This window comes from Homo sapiens, chromosome 8 (genome assembly GCF_000001405.40).
Source record: "Homo sapiens chromosome 8, GRCh38.p14 Primary Assembly".
Taxonomy (NCBI): Eukaryota; Metazoa; Chordata; class Mammalia; order Primates; family Hominidae; genus Homo; species Homo sapiens.
The window spans coordinates 125,588,476-125,604,406 of NC_000008.11; the positions used below are offsets into that span (position 1 = coordinate 125,588,476).

Consider the following 15,931-nt stretch of genomic DNA (forward strand, 5'->3'; position numbering starts at 1 on the left):
GGATTAAGAAAATGTGGCACATATACACCATGGAATACTATGCAGCCATAAAAAATGATGAGTTCATATCCTTTGTAGGGACATGGATGAAATTGGAAACCATCATTCTCAGTAAACTATCGCAAGAACAAAAAACCAAACACCGCATATTCTCACTCATAGGTGGGAATTGAACAATGAGATCACATGGACACAGGAAGGGGAATATCACACTCTGGGGACTGTGGTGGGGTCGGGGGAGGGGGGAGGGATAGCATTGGGAGATATACCTAATGCTAGATGACACATTAGTGGGTGCAGCGCACCAGCATGGCACATGTATACATATGTAACTAACCTGCACAATGTGCACATGTACCCTAAAACTTAGAGTATAATAAAAAAAAAAAAAAAAAAAAAAAAAAAAAAAAAAAACCACTCACAAATCTCTCTCTCTAACAAAGACAGGATAAGTCTGAGACAATGGAATCTATCTAGCCTTAACTCAATTAACACTGTGGGTGTTTTGATTGCCTCTGCATTTTCATGGCAAATGATACTACATTTCTATTTGATAGTGATACAAAATTTAATTTGAAAAAGTCCATTTACATTAAAAAACTGGGTTGATTTAAAGACATTAGCAAACGATGGTACGGGTGGTAGCTGGATAAGGCAAATAAAATACAGGGCCCTCCAGAATATTGGAGTTTGTGGGAGACCATGTTTGCAGATAAAGCAGGAAAGATCCAAGGTCCCAGATTGAAGTGGGGACTATCTTTCACTCTCAGTCGCCCTAGACGACTCATTGCATTAGTGGAGAAAGCACTGTATCAAGAAGACCCGCTGTGTGGTCTGAGCAAACCATTCATGTTCCAATCATTCATGGGTTCCAGTCAGCCCACGTGGGAAACAAAGAGGATTATATTGGTTGCTAGTGTCAGAAACACAAATAAGCTTCTTCAGGAAAGGGGCGTTATTGGTTCTTGTTAACTGTGAAGTTCCGGGATAAGACAACTTCAGTTCTCGTTGGATCCAGGGATTTCAAGTGTCTTCCCTCTCCTAGCTAAAGTCCCAGAATTGAGTCCGGCAGGCTTCAGATAGGTGGAAGTTTCTGATTGGCCAGGCCTTGGTCATGTGCCCACAGGTGAGTGGAAGGTTCTGATTGGTCAGGCCTTGGTTGTGTGCCCACGGGTGGGTGGAAGGTTTTGATTGGCCAGGCTTTGGTCATGTGCCCATAGTGGCCAGGGGTTATGAAGGGTAGGAGAGCAGGCAGGGTCAGCCCTTTCAAACTCTGTGGATTAGAATGGGGTAGAAGGGGATGGTGCTCTTCAATGGAGAACCACCGTGCTTTTATCAGATGAAGGGATGAATGTCTAAGTAAGAGATGTGGTACCCACCAGAGGACTTTCTGTAAGGTTGTTTCCAGCTCTTTCCTTTGCAGCTGCACTCTGTGCTGACCCCTGATGTTTGTGGAGGAGGTTGAGGCCTCCTCTGGGAGCCTTCCTGCTTTTCTAGCCTCCGCTCAGGAATTGCACCTTCTTACTCCCACTTGAAGTGCCCCCTACCCTCATCACGTCCCCACCTCCAATCCCTCTATTTACCTGGAGAAACCTGCTCTACATCCTCCTCTGCCTAAAACCCTCTACTTCCGTTTGCAAACAAACCCCTGATTTTGGCATTGAGAGCCAAGGCTCCTCTGAGCCTGCTGCTCCTCTTACTAGCTGGGCATCTGAAGGCTGTATATCTCAGCATCTCCATATATAAAGAGGATCATAACTGTGCTGCCTCCTAGGGGTGTGGTGAGATTTACATGTTACTACAAAGAAAACATCTTACACCTGGCTACTCGTGGTTAGTTCCATAGATGCGGCCTGTAATTATAGTCATGGAATACGAGGCTGTACACAATCTGCTGCTCACTCTGTACTCAGCCTTATGTCTATGCCTCTTCCCAATTCCCTGAACTCCCCAGCCATATTGGACTCCTCCCCATGACCTGAGCATACCTATTTTTTCTTTCCTCCACATTTGCTCATGCTCTTCCCTCTGCCTGCAATGCCCTTTCTTCCCTAGCACCTTAAGACCTGGCTTATGTCCTATTTTCTCTGTGAGACCTCCTCTAGCCAGTCATGATGACCTGCCATCCCCACTCTAAGGCTAAAGAATGATTCCTCTTCTGTCACGTTTCCCCAGGACTCAGGGGTGTTCCTTTATTATAGTACACCTCAGTGTGTGTTTCTGTGGTTGTTTTTGGGGTCAGTCTCCACACACAGGTGTGAGTTTCCTGGGGGCAGGAACGTGTGTTTATCTCACTGGTCTGCATTCTCAGCATGGAGTCTCACACGTAGTAAAATTCTCAGAGCTTGTTGGGTGAATGAATGAATAGCCTGTGTACTTGTCTGCTTGAAGGCAAGGACTGTGTCCAACTTAATCTTTGTTTCCCCAATGTCTGGCACCCAGTAGGCATTCACTAAATTATTCATGCACGTAATCGAAGGATAGATAAGGCAGATGTATGCAAGTAGGTGAAGCAAGGAAAGGTACGAAGGACCCAGGAGAGGGAGAATTTGGACAATGAAATCGGGGTCGAGATGTGGTTCCAGAGCTCTGAGGGGGAAGCTGGACCAGGGAGCTGGGGGAGTCATGGGAGGCCCAGCCTCTTTTCCCTGAGCTGCACTCTTTCCTAGGGGTATGGGAAGGAGGAGACCCCACCCAGCCTGAAGAGGGGTATTAACATGCTTGAATGGCTCGAGGAGTGTTTCACAGGCTTATCTGTTAATAGTAAAAAGGAAATTATATGAAAAATACAAAAATGTGTGGGTTGCAGGACAAGTTAATGATTTCTCATGTAGTCAGATGTGTGTCCCTTTAATGGAGGCAGGTAATGGCGGTGGTAATAATACCCTGGATCTGTTGATAGCGTCTTTCTTCTGAGGAGCTCAAAGCACTTTCCATTCTTATCTCATCTCTCTTTCTGACTTCTCAGGGAAGTCAGTCTGATTATCCCCATTTCTCAGGTGCCTGTGTACTGTGACTCACACTGCGCCTCTGGAGCTCATCCCTTTGTGCAGCCTGGGTGGGGCCCATGTGACTCTCTCCTCCTTGAGCACTGCACCTGGAGCACCCCCATTTCATGGGTGACCAAGAAGGCTTGGCTCACTATAAAGGGTGCTCTGACATACAGGTCTATGGGAGCTAGCCACACCACGGGAAGCAGAGGGGCTGGGTGGGGGTGGTGAAGAGAGGAGGAGGTGGAGGAGGAAGGACCTGAGGGAGGGGGAGGGATGAAAGGTCTGGAGGACTCAGAACACTAGACTCTGAGCATGCTGAGGGCAGGGCCATGTCCTGTTTGCCTTCCTATCCTTAGGACGAAGCCCAGTGCATGACATGGCATAGGTACATAGGTCAGATACATGGTTGGTCAGGTGACAGGTGGACATGCCATGGTATCTTTCAAGACCCAGTTCAAAGATCACCTCTTTGAGAAGCTTTCCCTGGCCATTCCACTGGACTACTAACATACCACTACTGGACTCATAACCCTTGGAGCCTCTCAGGCAGCTTTGTGGCAGAGTTAACTGTCTATGTGTCAGATGCCCCCATTTGGATGTCAGTTCCTGGACCAGGCATGAGTCTAACTTGTCTCATATCTTTAGGGTCTGTTAGCACAGGATGTCTCACGTAGTAAGGGTGGGCAGAGAGAGGTACAGGAAAGGCTGGGCTTTGAAGTCAGAAAGACCCAGATTCATACGCGGGTTCTGCCTCTGACCACACAGGGTTCCACTGTGGCTCAGGAAACCCCTTAGCCTCCTTGAGCATATGCTCCTTTCCCCCTTCCTCATGATAAAATGGAGCTGAGAAAACCCACTTTGCTGGCTGTGGCAAGGCTAACCATGGTGGCATTGCTTGGCACCTAGAATGTGTTCGGTATTCATCTCCTATGATTAATTTTAGATTTGATGGTTTCCAGCCCTGGCTCGGCATTAGAACCACCCTTCTCAGGAATAGACATACTTGGAACTCCACCCCTGGGAAATTCTGAGCCTGTGGATCTGGGCTGGGGCCAGGATCTGCCTGTTAAAAATGGTCCTCTGGTTATTCTGCTGTTGGAGGGTCTCAGTGTTTGTGAAATCAAACATATGATTGAATGTAAGGTAGAACGTAAGTCCTTGATTTCTCTGGTTTCTAGGGTTCAGTGAAGGGACAGAAAAGGCTGCTTGGTAAAGTGATCTCTTCTAGGGAGGATGCTTGGGGGGTCCAAGAGCTCAAAGCATTTTCTCTTCTTATCTCATCTCTGCATGTCCAGCCTTGCCCATCGAAGCAGATGGAACGGAGAGGAAGTTCACCCTGGCCTCCTTCACACTACCCCTGTGACCCAAGTAAGCTGGCCACCTTCCCTGCACTTCATCTCGCCACTTTGTTCAGCAGGCATTCTCCATGTTTTACATTTGCAGACCAGAGGCGGGTGGAAGAAGAGCTCTGTGGACTCCATGACCATCAGTCAAGGGGGTAGTGAGGTGTTGCTTGTCTTTGCTAGAATTTCTCAAGTTTACAAAGAATTAGAGATGGAAATGAAAGTTCGTAACTGTTTACAGTTCCAGCTGGCATCTGATAGACCCCTAAGGAACCTCCGTGCAGACTGGGGTGCCAGCCAGGCCTTCTTTCTGAATCAGGGACCTAGAAATCTCCAGTTGTTGAAAGGCAGACTCTGTATAGGTCTAGGGGTCAGCAATGCAGAAGGAGCCCAGGTTGTGAGGCCTGGGTCCAGGTTGGACTTGCTGCTAGCTTGCTGTGTGACTCTGTACGGGCCAGAGAGCCTCCCCAAGCCTTGCTGACTTTGACACATCAGCTGAAATTCTTTCTCTGAGGCTTATGATCCTGAAAAGGGATTGGATGTAGTGGAGAAAGGAATTTGTCCCAAGCAGGAGAGCAGTAAATTGCCAACAATGGAAGGTTGGAAAGGCCTGTGTCCATAGTACCAGGTGGGAGTCATGGACCACTGGGGCTGCTGAGCCTGGACGTGGGGCTTGTAGGAGACTGTAGGATCACAGAATTGAAAGTGGTAGCGGTGAATGGAGAGTGGGGATTACACAGTACAAGACATTTTCTCACATACTGTTTTCTTCAGTTTACATGGAATCCTAAGAGATATTATTGTGTCAACATTCATAATAACCAAATCATTTTACAGGGGAGAAAACTGAGGCCCAGAGAGATGAAGGCCCCCAAAGTCACACGGCAATTTGGTGGTGCCAAAATTTGAATCCACATCTGTCTGACTCTACTACCACCCCACTACAGTTGACTTGGGGCAAGATGGGTGTCCCAAAGCATTTGGGTTGATTTAGATTTTTTCTGGAGTGGTTCTACAGATCTTTCCCCCAGGTGAGGCAGGTGCCCTCCCTTTCCTGGGAACAGGCCACTCTCAGTGTTTGGGAAGGAAGGGACAGCAACATGTGGTGGGGTCAAAGGCATCAGGTGCTGGCCGCTGTCATTCCCAGTGGGAAATGGATCTCCTTCTCAGGAACCTGAGCAGGAGCTGGAAGTCCTCCCTCTGCAGGCAGGATCTCAGGTGATGGCCCTGAACAGGTGATTGTTTTGCAACTAGTCAGGGAGGGTGGACAGGTCTTGAAGTCTGAGAAGGCACAGATTTCCAGACCAGGTCTCACCCAGGAGATTCAAAGGGCAGGATTGCGCAAGGACGACCTCTACTTGGGCCCAGAAAACGAGAAAGTCAGCTTCTTTTCCGTGTACTGTGAGTGAGTCACCTTTCCCAGAAGCCAGGCCATTCTCTGGTTCCTCCTGCAGGCTCAGAGTGGCCTGGCTAGGGTGGAGCAGAGCAGGGAAGGTGAGGAGCCAGTGACAACTCCGTCTTCCCCATCTCCGTAGGGAGCATGGAGCTTAGTGCATTAGACTGGGTAAGAACCCATCACGCATCCCCAACCCTCTGCACCCCATCCACATGTCACAAGGTCACAGCTGGGTACCGAGGCTGGCATGGGGCCGATCACTGTGCCTGTGGTGCGGAATGGGATGTGTGTGTGTGTGTATAAAAGCCATGGAAGCCATGGTACAATCTGAGGGCCAGACAAGCTTTTTGTTCCCCAATCTCATCTTTCCTGCTTGGTGTAGACGGGCTTCAAAGTCAGACATCTGGGTTCCAATTTCAGCTCTCCCCCTTCATTCCCACCTCCCCAGCCCACCTCCCAGCCCTTGGAGCTCATACTTACAGAGCAACCTTGGACAGGTCATTCCAACCTGCTTAAGCCTCAGTTTTTCTCCTCTGTGTAATGGGGATAACATTACCCACTTCTCAGAGTTGTGAATTATCAAGCAGATTAAATAGAAGAGTGCTGGGAGGGTAGAGTCTGTCATCAGGCAGCCTGGCTTTATTTTTATTTATTTATTTATTTATTTATTTATTTATTTATTTGAGATGGAGTCTTTCTTTGTCACCCAGGCTGGAGTGCAGTGGCACGATCTCGGCTCACTGCAACCTCTGTCTCCAAGGTTCAAGCAATTCTTGTGCCTTAGCCTTCCAAGTAGGTGGGACAACAGGTGCCCGCCTCCATGTCCAGCTAATTTTTGTATTTTTAGTAGAGACTGCGTTTTGCCATGTTGGCCAGACTGGTCTTGAACTCCTGGCCTCAAGTGATCTGCCCGCCTCGGCCTCCCAAAGTGCTGGGATTACAGGTGTGAGCCACTGTGCCCAGCCAAGGCAGCCCAACTTTAGACCATAGCCCTGTGTTCCATCTCTAACCCTCCGGCTAATCCTACCCCTCCTGGGCTTCCGGCTGATCAGTTGTAAAGTACAGCTCCCTCGTGGAGCTGCTGTAAGGATCAAATAAGATACCGCTCTTGCCATGTATAAGGCACCCAGCAAAAGTGTTAATTGCCTTCTCCATTCAGGCTCATTTCCTCATGATTTTGCTGAGAAAAGAGAGTTGGATCTGAAGATGTCAAATTATTCCAAAGATTGATCTTTCCTAGGTTCCTACTTTATTAGATGGGATAAGAATAGCATATATCTCATAAAGCTGTTGTGAGGCTAATTGAGTTGATATGAGTACCAGGAAGTGCCCCATAAATGTCAGCTTCATGGCTGGCTATATATAGTTCTTCATTCTGCTGGTGATGCAGCCCTGGCCGGTGCCTTGGCCTGAGTGATCAGGGCCAAGGTGACACCCTGCAGTGACAGGTCTGGGTAGTGACGAGCAAAGCTGGTTGGGCAGGGGCAGCCAGGTCCTTACTGAGACCGAAAGAACAGCTTGGGCATTATTTTGTAACAGAGATTGCCTTTGGTCTTGGCTAGTTCCAGAGAAGGCTGGAAAAAGGAATGTCTGTGACCACCAGGCTGCAGGGAAATGGGATGCTCCTACATTTTGTCATGGCTGAGGGAGCAGATGAGGACCACAGCAGAACAGGTGGGGGTCTTTTAGTGGATGCTGACCAGCTAGGAGGCCACAGCTGGATGGAAGCTGGGGGAATAACCCCAGTCCCATCGTGTGGGGCAGTAGACACTGGGCAGGGGCCCCAGAGCCTGCACATGGCCAAGTCAGTCAAGATGTGCCTCCTTCTAGGGAACTGACAGAGAGTGGGTTCTGTTGCCCCAAAGAGTCCAGTGCTCTTTCCATGAGATCATGTTTGCCCAGAATCATGGACCCCTGCCCTGAGAGCTCACCATCAACTCATGGCAGGTGGCCAGCTGGATGCTCAGGGACCACAGAGGAAGGAGAGAGATTCAGAGAAAGTTTGTGGAAGAGGCAACACGTAAGCCAGGCTTTTTAGGAGGAGATGAGGAAGAAAGTTGTTGTCCCCACTTCCTCATCTCCACCTCATGTCTCCACCTCTATCAATTGCAATCTGGCTTCTCTTACACATGAAAATACTCTTGTCAGGGTCATCCGTGACCTTCTGTGGTCAATCCAAAGGGCACATCGCGGTCCTGCTCTTAAATAATATGGGGGTCACATTTGACGCTGTAGCTCACTTCTCCCTGGACTTCTGGTTCTCCTTTTGCCTCCCTGATGTTCCTCCTCATTTTCCTTTGTGAGGTCATCTTTCTCTGTTACCTATCATTTATCCATCCACCCACCCATCCATTCATCCACTTGTCCATTGATCCACTTATCCATCCATCCTTCCATCCATCCATCCATCCATCCATCCATCCATCCATCCATCCATCTATCCGCCCACTCACCCATTCATTTATTCTATCTATCTATCTTTGTACTTAAGGAGAATTTAAAGAAGGTGCTATTTATAAAAGAAAGAGATACTGCAGCACTCCAGGGCTGACCATATTAGGGATCCATTAGCAGCCCTAGGCCTTAAGATCAAGTGGCTTTCAGAACCCAGAGTGAAGTTATAAGGGGGCTTCCTGTTGGGAGCTGAGTCCTTCAGCCTGGGGACATGGCCAACAAGGGATGTAAACATCGGACTTGACTCTCTTCCCCACAGTGATGTGACTCATGGCTGTGTTCTTTCCTCTGAGACTGGAAAGGAGCACCCCTCCTTTCTGCTCACACCCCCGCCCCCAGGACTTTTCTCTACTCCAGTGGCTGATGCCCCCCGAGTTGCTAGCTCTGGCCCAGACTCCTCTACTGACAACCTACCTGAACACCCAACTCTCTACTCACTGGAACCCTGCAGCTGTCCCTCAGGTCTCACAAACCCAGCCTGCCCACAGAACTCATGGTCTTTCCCCAGGCTGTTTATCTCCCATGTTCTCTGTCTGTGTGAATGGCCACTCTCCTTGTCACCTGAGTCCACGGCTGGGACTCATTCCTGCTCCTGTTCCTCCTTTACTGTCCCTATCCATCGCCAAGTCCTGTCCAATCCGCACCCAGAAATGGACAGATGCATCCCTCCCTCCCATCCTCACTCCTGGTGCCTTTGCTTAAGTTCTTCTCATCTCTGCTGCTCTGTATCACCACAATTGCTTCCTAATTCACCTTCCGATTCCCATCTCACATCCTATGGCAGGGGCTGCTGGTTGCCTCTTAAGGCCCATCATTCTCTCTCCATTGCTTAGTTATACCCAATTTTCAGTTAGGTAAGTGATCAGTGATCTAAAAGACAATATTTGCCAGACTTTCTTGTGGCTAGAATTGGCCAAGTGACTAAGTTCTATATGAAGATATAGGCTGGGTGCGGTCGCTCACGCCTGTAATCCCGGCACTTTGGGAGGCCAAGGTGGGTGTATCACTTGAAGTCAGGAGTTTGAGACCAGCCTGGCCAACATGGTGAAACCTCTTTGCTACTAAAAATACAAAAATTAGCGGGGGTGTGGTGGCACGTGCCTATAATCCAAGCTACTTGGGAGATTGAGGTAGGAGAATCTCTTGAACCCGGGAGGCAGAGGTTTCAGTGAGCCGAGTTTGCACCACTGGACTCCAGCCTGGATGACAGAGTAAGACTCCGTCTCAAAACAAAACAAAACAAAACAAAAAACAGATGAAGATATAAGCAGAAATGACCTGTAGAAGTGCTGGGAAGTCTCCTTAAAATGGAAAGGGCGTGCTCTTCTTTCTCCTGACTCTATCTGCTGCCTGGAACATGGATGATGGCCCAAGCTGTAGCAACTTCCTTGGACTATGTGGGTAATCACCTTCCACAGCTGAAAGGATGAATTGTAAGAAGTATATCAACCATAAGTCACTATCTCTGGACTTCTTCAATGAAAGAGTGAAATAAAGGTCTAATTTGTTTAAGCCACGGTTATTTTTTGTTTCTTTGTGATTTTTAGCTACACATAATTCTAACTGATGTGTCTTCTACCCACGGGGATGGTTGCAGATGCTTCTGTGCCCCGTGTGCCTCTTTGGACCACTGAGTTGAGCACAGCTGTGAGGGCAGTTCTGTTCAAACATGTAGGGCGTGTTCAAAGCCACAGAAGGCCAGTCGGCCCCTGCCCAGGCACAGCCTGGAATAGAAATGAAGACTCCAAAAGAACGGAGTTGGGAGAGAGGCAGGTGCTGAAAAGATTTCCTACTGGGTCCTAGGGGAGAGTTGATGCCTTCTACGGGCAGCCCTCAATCAACGGGAGATGAAAGTTGGTAACCATACGAGGTTCATTCATGATTTCTCGGAGGGTCCCAGCAGGCCTGGGCTCTGGCTGCCCATGGAGGTAACCAGCTCAACCACACACCCTTTCCAATCTTTTCTCCCACCCCTGTCTCATTCTTTTCACTGTCACTGCTACTTTCTGGAGTCACCTCTCAGATAAGCCACCTCCACAAATGTTCTGGTCTCAGGCTCTGCCATTGAGCTAAAATGTAGCTCTATTTGGGCCCTTCCCCTCCAAAAGTCCCTCTGGAGCCCACAGAATCCTGGATGATGATGTGATCCCTTGGTCTGGCTGCTGCCTCTGATCACCTCCTCCCTGCTGCTCTGTCCCGTGCCCTCAGCACCCCCTGTGTGACCCTTGCTCCAGCCATGCCAGGCCATAGCAGTTCTCTGAAGGGCCCTGCAGTGTCACACTCTGGTGCCTTTTCATAGACTGGATCATCCTTTCTTTACCCTTCCCCAGCTCATCTCAAGTTCAGCTGGAGCTGTTCCTTGTCTAGGGTCCCATTCCTCTTTTCCACCATCCTGGCCGTGTCTACGCAGCCACCTCTTTCTCCTTTTTGACTTTGTGCTTCTTTTTAAGGCAGAGACTACACACACCCTATTCAGTTTTAGATTCTGGACACAGCGCTGAGCTGGGGCACAGTTGAAACTCAGTGTTTGTTGCATGGCAGAAGGGGTAGGGGCAGGGCCAGGCTGAGCAAGGCCCAGAGAGGGGCACATGCATGGTGGCCTGATGTGTTCCTGGATTGACAAGTGGACCACATGTCCGAGATCCCTCACTCCAGCATCCAGTTTCTCCCAGATTTGATCTCTCTCATCTTTTCAGCTTCAGCTCCTAAACCTCTCCTCTGGTTCAGAGCTCCAATCCCACCAGCATCTGTCCTGCCCTGAACACACTCTGTGTTCTCAAGCCACTGTGACTCAGGCCATGCTCGTCCCTTTGCCTGGATGGCTTCCCTTCCCCCTTGGCCTTCCACCTTGCTAGGGAATTTCTCCCTGCCCTTCAAGGCCTGTATCAAATACATCTGCATCCATAAGCCCTTCTCTGCCAGGGACTGTGCTTTGTACATTGCGGGTTCTTAGGAAAGCTTATTGTGGATGTATTAGGTATATTGGGTAGGGTGGGGGACATGTATGTATTTATTTAACAAACATTTACACAGAGCTTAGTATATTCTAGGCACTATTCTACATGCCGTACCCATATGAACTAATTTAATATACATAACAATCGTATAAGGAAGGTACTGTTATTGTTCCCATTTTACAGATTATAAAACTGAGGCACAGAGAGGTTAAGTAACTTGTCCAAGGTTACACTGCTAGAAAGTGCTAGAGACAGGATGTGTTGACCCAAGTGGAGCAGGAGAGATGGTGACAGGTTTCTTTTTAAATCAATGCTATGGAGTAGATGGAGAACATCAATTGCTTGGTGTTTCTTTTTTTTTTTTTCATCTAAATTTTAGATCTGGTAGGTCCATGTGCAGGTTTATGACATGGGTGTATGGTGTGATGCTGAGGTTTTGGCCTCTATTGATCTTTTCACCCAGATAGTGAACATAGTACCCAACAGGAGGCTTTTCAGCCCTTGCCTCCCTCCCTTCCTCCTTTTAGCATACCCAGTGTCTTTGTTCCCATCTTTACGTCTGGGTGTGCTCAGGCTTTAGCTCCCACTTGTAAGTGATAACATGCAGTATTTGGTTTTCTGTTTCTGTGTTAATTCACTTGGGATACTGGCAAATCAACTTCCCCTTCTGGGAGCTCCATGGCTGAGCTGGGCTGAGGACAGCAGCTTTCAGAAACCCTGCAGGTGTCCGGGACATCTGGCCACAGGGGCCACTGAATGGCTCTAGAGGCCCAAGCTTCAGGTGGGCCATGAGTATGGGCCTGGCCTTCATCAGGCAGGGCAAGGGACGAGGCTTCCTGGCAGGAAATCTGCTCCTCTGACTTGCACCAGCCTCCTTTCTGCTCTGCCTTGGAGAGTGCGGTGGGAGATGGCAAAGAATATCCAGGATAAGGTTTGTAAATGGATGAAGGGTTCACAAGAAGACCCTGGGACTAGCAGGCAGGGACTTTGACTCAATGTGCTGAGTGATTTCAGCGGCAACTCACTTCCCTTCTATGGGCCTCAGTTTCTCCATTTGTGAAATGCAAAGACTGGGCTGGATGCTCACGAAGGGCTCTCCCAGCATGTTCTTTAATAATTCTAGCTACATAGGTATTGTCTTGGGGAGCAGAAGGGAGGAGGGAAATTGGGATATGTTATGGGCTGAATTTACATATTCAAAATTCATATGTTGAAGTCTGAACCTTCAATATCTTTAAATGTGACTGTACTTGGGAAGGATCTTTAAGAGGTAATGAAGGTTTAATGAATCTTTGGGGTGGGCCCTAATCCAATATGACTGGTGTCCTTGTAAGAAGAGGATATTAGGTCACAGACACCCACAGAGGAAGGACACATGAAGACACATGGAAGAGACGGGCATTTTCAAGCCCAGGAGAATGGCCTTAGAAAACACCAAACCTGCTGACACTTTAAACTTGGACTTCTGGCCTCTAAAATTATGAGAAAATAAATGTGTTCTTTTAAGATGCTCAGTCTGTGGTACTTGGTTCTGACAGCCCTAGCAAATCAATGCAAGGTAACACCATAAGCTGATCCAACTGCAGTGTCCTCCAGCCACAGTACCTTGGTTCTTGTGGGGTCAGACTAGCCAAAGAGTATGGGAGGCAAGGGGAGAGGCTCAGCGTAGATCATCTTGAACAACATGCATTGAGCCTGCTTTGCAGTCAGGGCTGAATTGGTGCACCCTACCCCTGCCCTCAAGGAGCCCTTGATCCCATGAGGGAGACGGACTTACAGTGAGGAATACTTGTTGTGTGAATCGTGGTGATGAAACATACACAGCACAGACACAGGCCTGGGGAGGGAACAGTCCATTGTCCAGATGACTTCACTGAGGAGAGCTTGGAAGGGCCAGCTGTGGTGTCCAGCGATCAGAGAATGGAGGGAAGAGCATCCCAGCAGAGTGATCAGCATTTGCAAAGGCACAGAGGCACAAACATTTCCCTGGGGCAACTGAAATATGAGACTGGAGAGCAGAGCTGGGGAGGCCCTGAGGGAATGCAGCTTATAAACATGGGGACCCTGGAGCCAGCCCATTGGAACTCAGCAGGGCCACTTCCTAGCTGGGTGACCCTCAGCAGGTTACTTGGCCTCTTGGAACCTCAGTGTTCTCATCTGCAAAATGGTGATGGCGATAGTACCTACCTTAGAGGATTGCCTCAGAGACTAAGTAGGTAAATATCTACAGCATGCTTTGAACAGTACCCTGCATGTGAATGGTACTTCAGCAACTCTGGCTGTCAGCTCAGCTCTGGTTTTCACACCTGCTCTCCCACAGAGTGGCTGAAATGATTATTTCATCAACCCTTTTGGTTGGGCACAGTGGGGAGTGAGGTCAGTGTAGAACATCAATCTTCGTTAGCTAGAACTGGGAACTGAGAGGTGCAGAGAATCCTGGAAATGCAAGGAGAACTTGCCAGAAAGCATTTCAGCAGGGTTCCAGGAGGCCTGCTGCTGAAGGGGGCAACCTTTGTGGCCCTAAAACTCTGTGACGCACGTAGGGGAAGGAACTGAAAAGGGGACCTGAAAGATATGTTTTCTCAGTAACAGGCACAAGAGGCAGCAGGGGTGGAGGAACAGTGTTTTGGAGACTCCGAGGAGTAGAATTGCTGGCTCTCAGGGCTGGGAGGCCCTGTTTAACTTTACAGTGTTTGATATGATAAAAAGATGCAAATAGTTACCCTCATTTTTTTTTTTTTGAGATGGAGTCTTGCTCTGTTGCCCAGGCTGGAGTGCAGTGTGGCGTGATCTTGTCTTACTGCAATCTCCGCCTCCCGGGTTTAAATGATTCTCCTCTCTCAGCCTCCTAAGTAGCTGGGACTACAGGCATATGTACCCTCTTTTTATAATTAAAGATTTCTTACCAAAAATCCAGATGTCCAGCTTCTGGTGGACACAGAATATCTGAGAACAGTAGCTGGCATTCCCATGCGGCAACCATCAGCAGTAATTCAATGGCAGGTGCCCCCACAGTAGGTCATTTTCTTTCTCTGCCCCATTCCAGCAGGCATTTGCATGTAAGATTGCCAAGTCTAGCCCAACACTCTCCTTTTACAGATGAGGAAACAGTGGGGATGTGACTCATCCAATTTTACACATGTGAGTGACCCAGCATCGGATGAGATCTCAGGCCTCCTAACACTCAGTCACACATGCATTCCACACCTCTGCTTGCCTTCTTTTGCCTTAGTACCCTGGTGGAAAGGGTAGAGGAGCAAGGGGATATGGTCTTCTTTTAGTTTTAATTGATAGTAACTATTAAGAAAAAGAGCAGCCATCAATTAAATGTCTACAATGTATCAGGGACTTCACACACATTTAAATTCTCATAACAACCCTGGAAAGTAAATATTATTATTCCTATTTTTCAGATGAGGAAACGGAGGTGCAGAAAGGTTAAAAAGCATGCCCGAGGTCGCTGGGGTGGTGTGTGATGAAGCTGGGTCCTGAACCATGGTTGAATGGACTCTAAAGCATTGTAGCAAGCGTGTTCTTAGGCTCTGGGGCATGCTAAAGTAGGAAAGTTCTGGAAGCTGTGGTCCAAGTGGTTTACTAGTGTTCCATTCAGACAGTTCAGGGCATGTCAGGGGAGATTTCAAGTTGTTGAGTGTCCCATGAGCCTCGTGGGAGAGAGGGGACTTGATCTCCCTCCCTGGGACTGACCACCCATACCCCCTGCAGACATTTCTCATCATAGTTGGGGGTTGGGGGACACCTTTAGGGGAAAGCTGGGGGGCCTGGCCAGGGCTCAGGATGGAGGAATGACTTATAAACTAGAGGGCCTTAACCATCTTCAAGGCACCCCCCCACCTCTAGCCCCCTATGCAGTGTTTAATGGCCTTAGCGGAGGGCTCCCCAGCACCACCAGCTGAGCTTAACATGGCTGTTGTTCCTTGGTGTTGAGGCTTCCTTTAGTTTGACTGTCTCAAAAAGTGTCTGCTCCCTGAGTCCAGGGACCCCTTCCCATGTATCTCTATATCCCCATCATCTAGAATGTTGCTTGACTCATGATAGGTACAACAAATGTGTGGTTCTGGAATGGATGAATGAATGTATGATGCAGGATTCACTTCTTTCTGGGGAGAGATCGCTGGGGTTTAAGTCTTGGCTCTACCCTTACTAAATGAGTGACCTGGACAAATTATTTAACCTCTCTGGGACTCAGTTTCTACATCTGTGAAATGGAGACAAAAATCGTGCTTATCTCATTGCTTATTGTTAAAATTAATATATTGCCCATAAAGTGCTTAGCACAATATCTTGTCTTGTGCTGTCTGATATGGTGGCCACTAGTCACAGGTGACTATTTAAAATAACCAAAATGAACTAAAATTAAAATTGAGATTCTTCCATTGCACCAGCTGCATTTCAAGTTCTCAGTGGCTTCTAAATTGGACAGCACAGATATAGAACGTTTCCATCATCACAGATAATTCTCCTAGACAGAGCTGGTGGAGAATATTGTAAGGGCTCTGTGATGCTAGCCATTTCTCGTTACAATTACTCCTGCTGTTATTGTCGCTGTCTCTCAACTCAAGGTGGAGGGTGATACTAGGTCACTACAGCAGGAGATTTGCCCTTGTGGCAGCCCAGGCTGAAAGTCCATACCCTGCATTTGCTTTCTTCTTAGAATGCTGTCCTGCCGATCTTCACTTGCTGACATCCTCCTTGTGCCAATGCCTGGTAGGACAGGCTTTAAGAAGCTTTTCAGAGGGAGAGCCCAACATAAGAGCCTTCTTCTCCATG

The 15,931-nt window shown here is 48.3% G+C and overlaps 1 long non-coding RNA gene across 2 annotated transcripts in view; it reads left to right on the forward strand.

Annotated features, from left to right (window-relative positions):
• The window catches only part of LINC02964 (long intergenic non-protein coding RNA 2964), a 160,228-nt gene that overhangs the window by 68,569 nt on the left and 75,728 nt on the right, over nucleotides 1-15,931 (forward strand). Inside the window, exon 2 of one of the 2 annotated variants that reach the window (XR_007061095.1) lies at nucleotides 4,289-4,361. The exons of the other annotated variant lie outside the window; for it this stretch is intronic. This is a non-coding gene — a long non-coding RNA (long intergenic non-protein coding RNA 2964). The remainder of the gene's footprint in view (nucleotides 1-4,288; nucleotides 4,362-15,931) is intronic. 2 annotated transcript variants of the gene reach the window in all.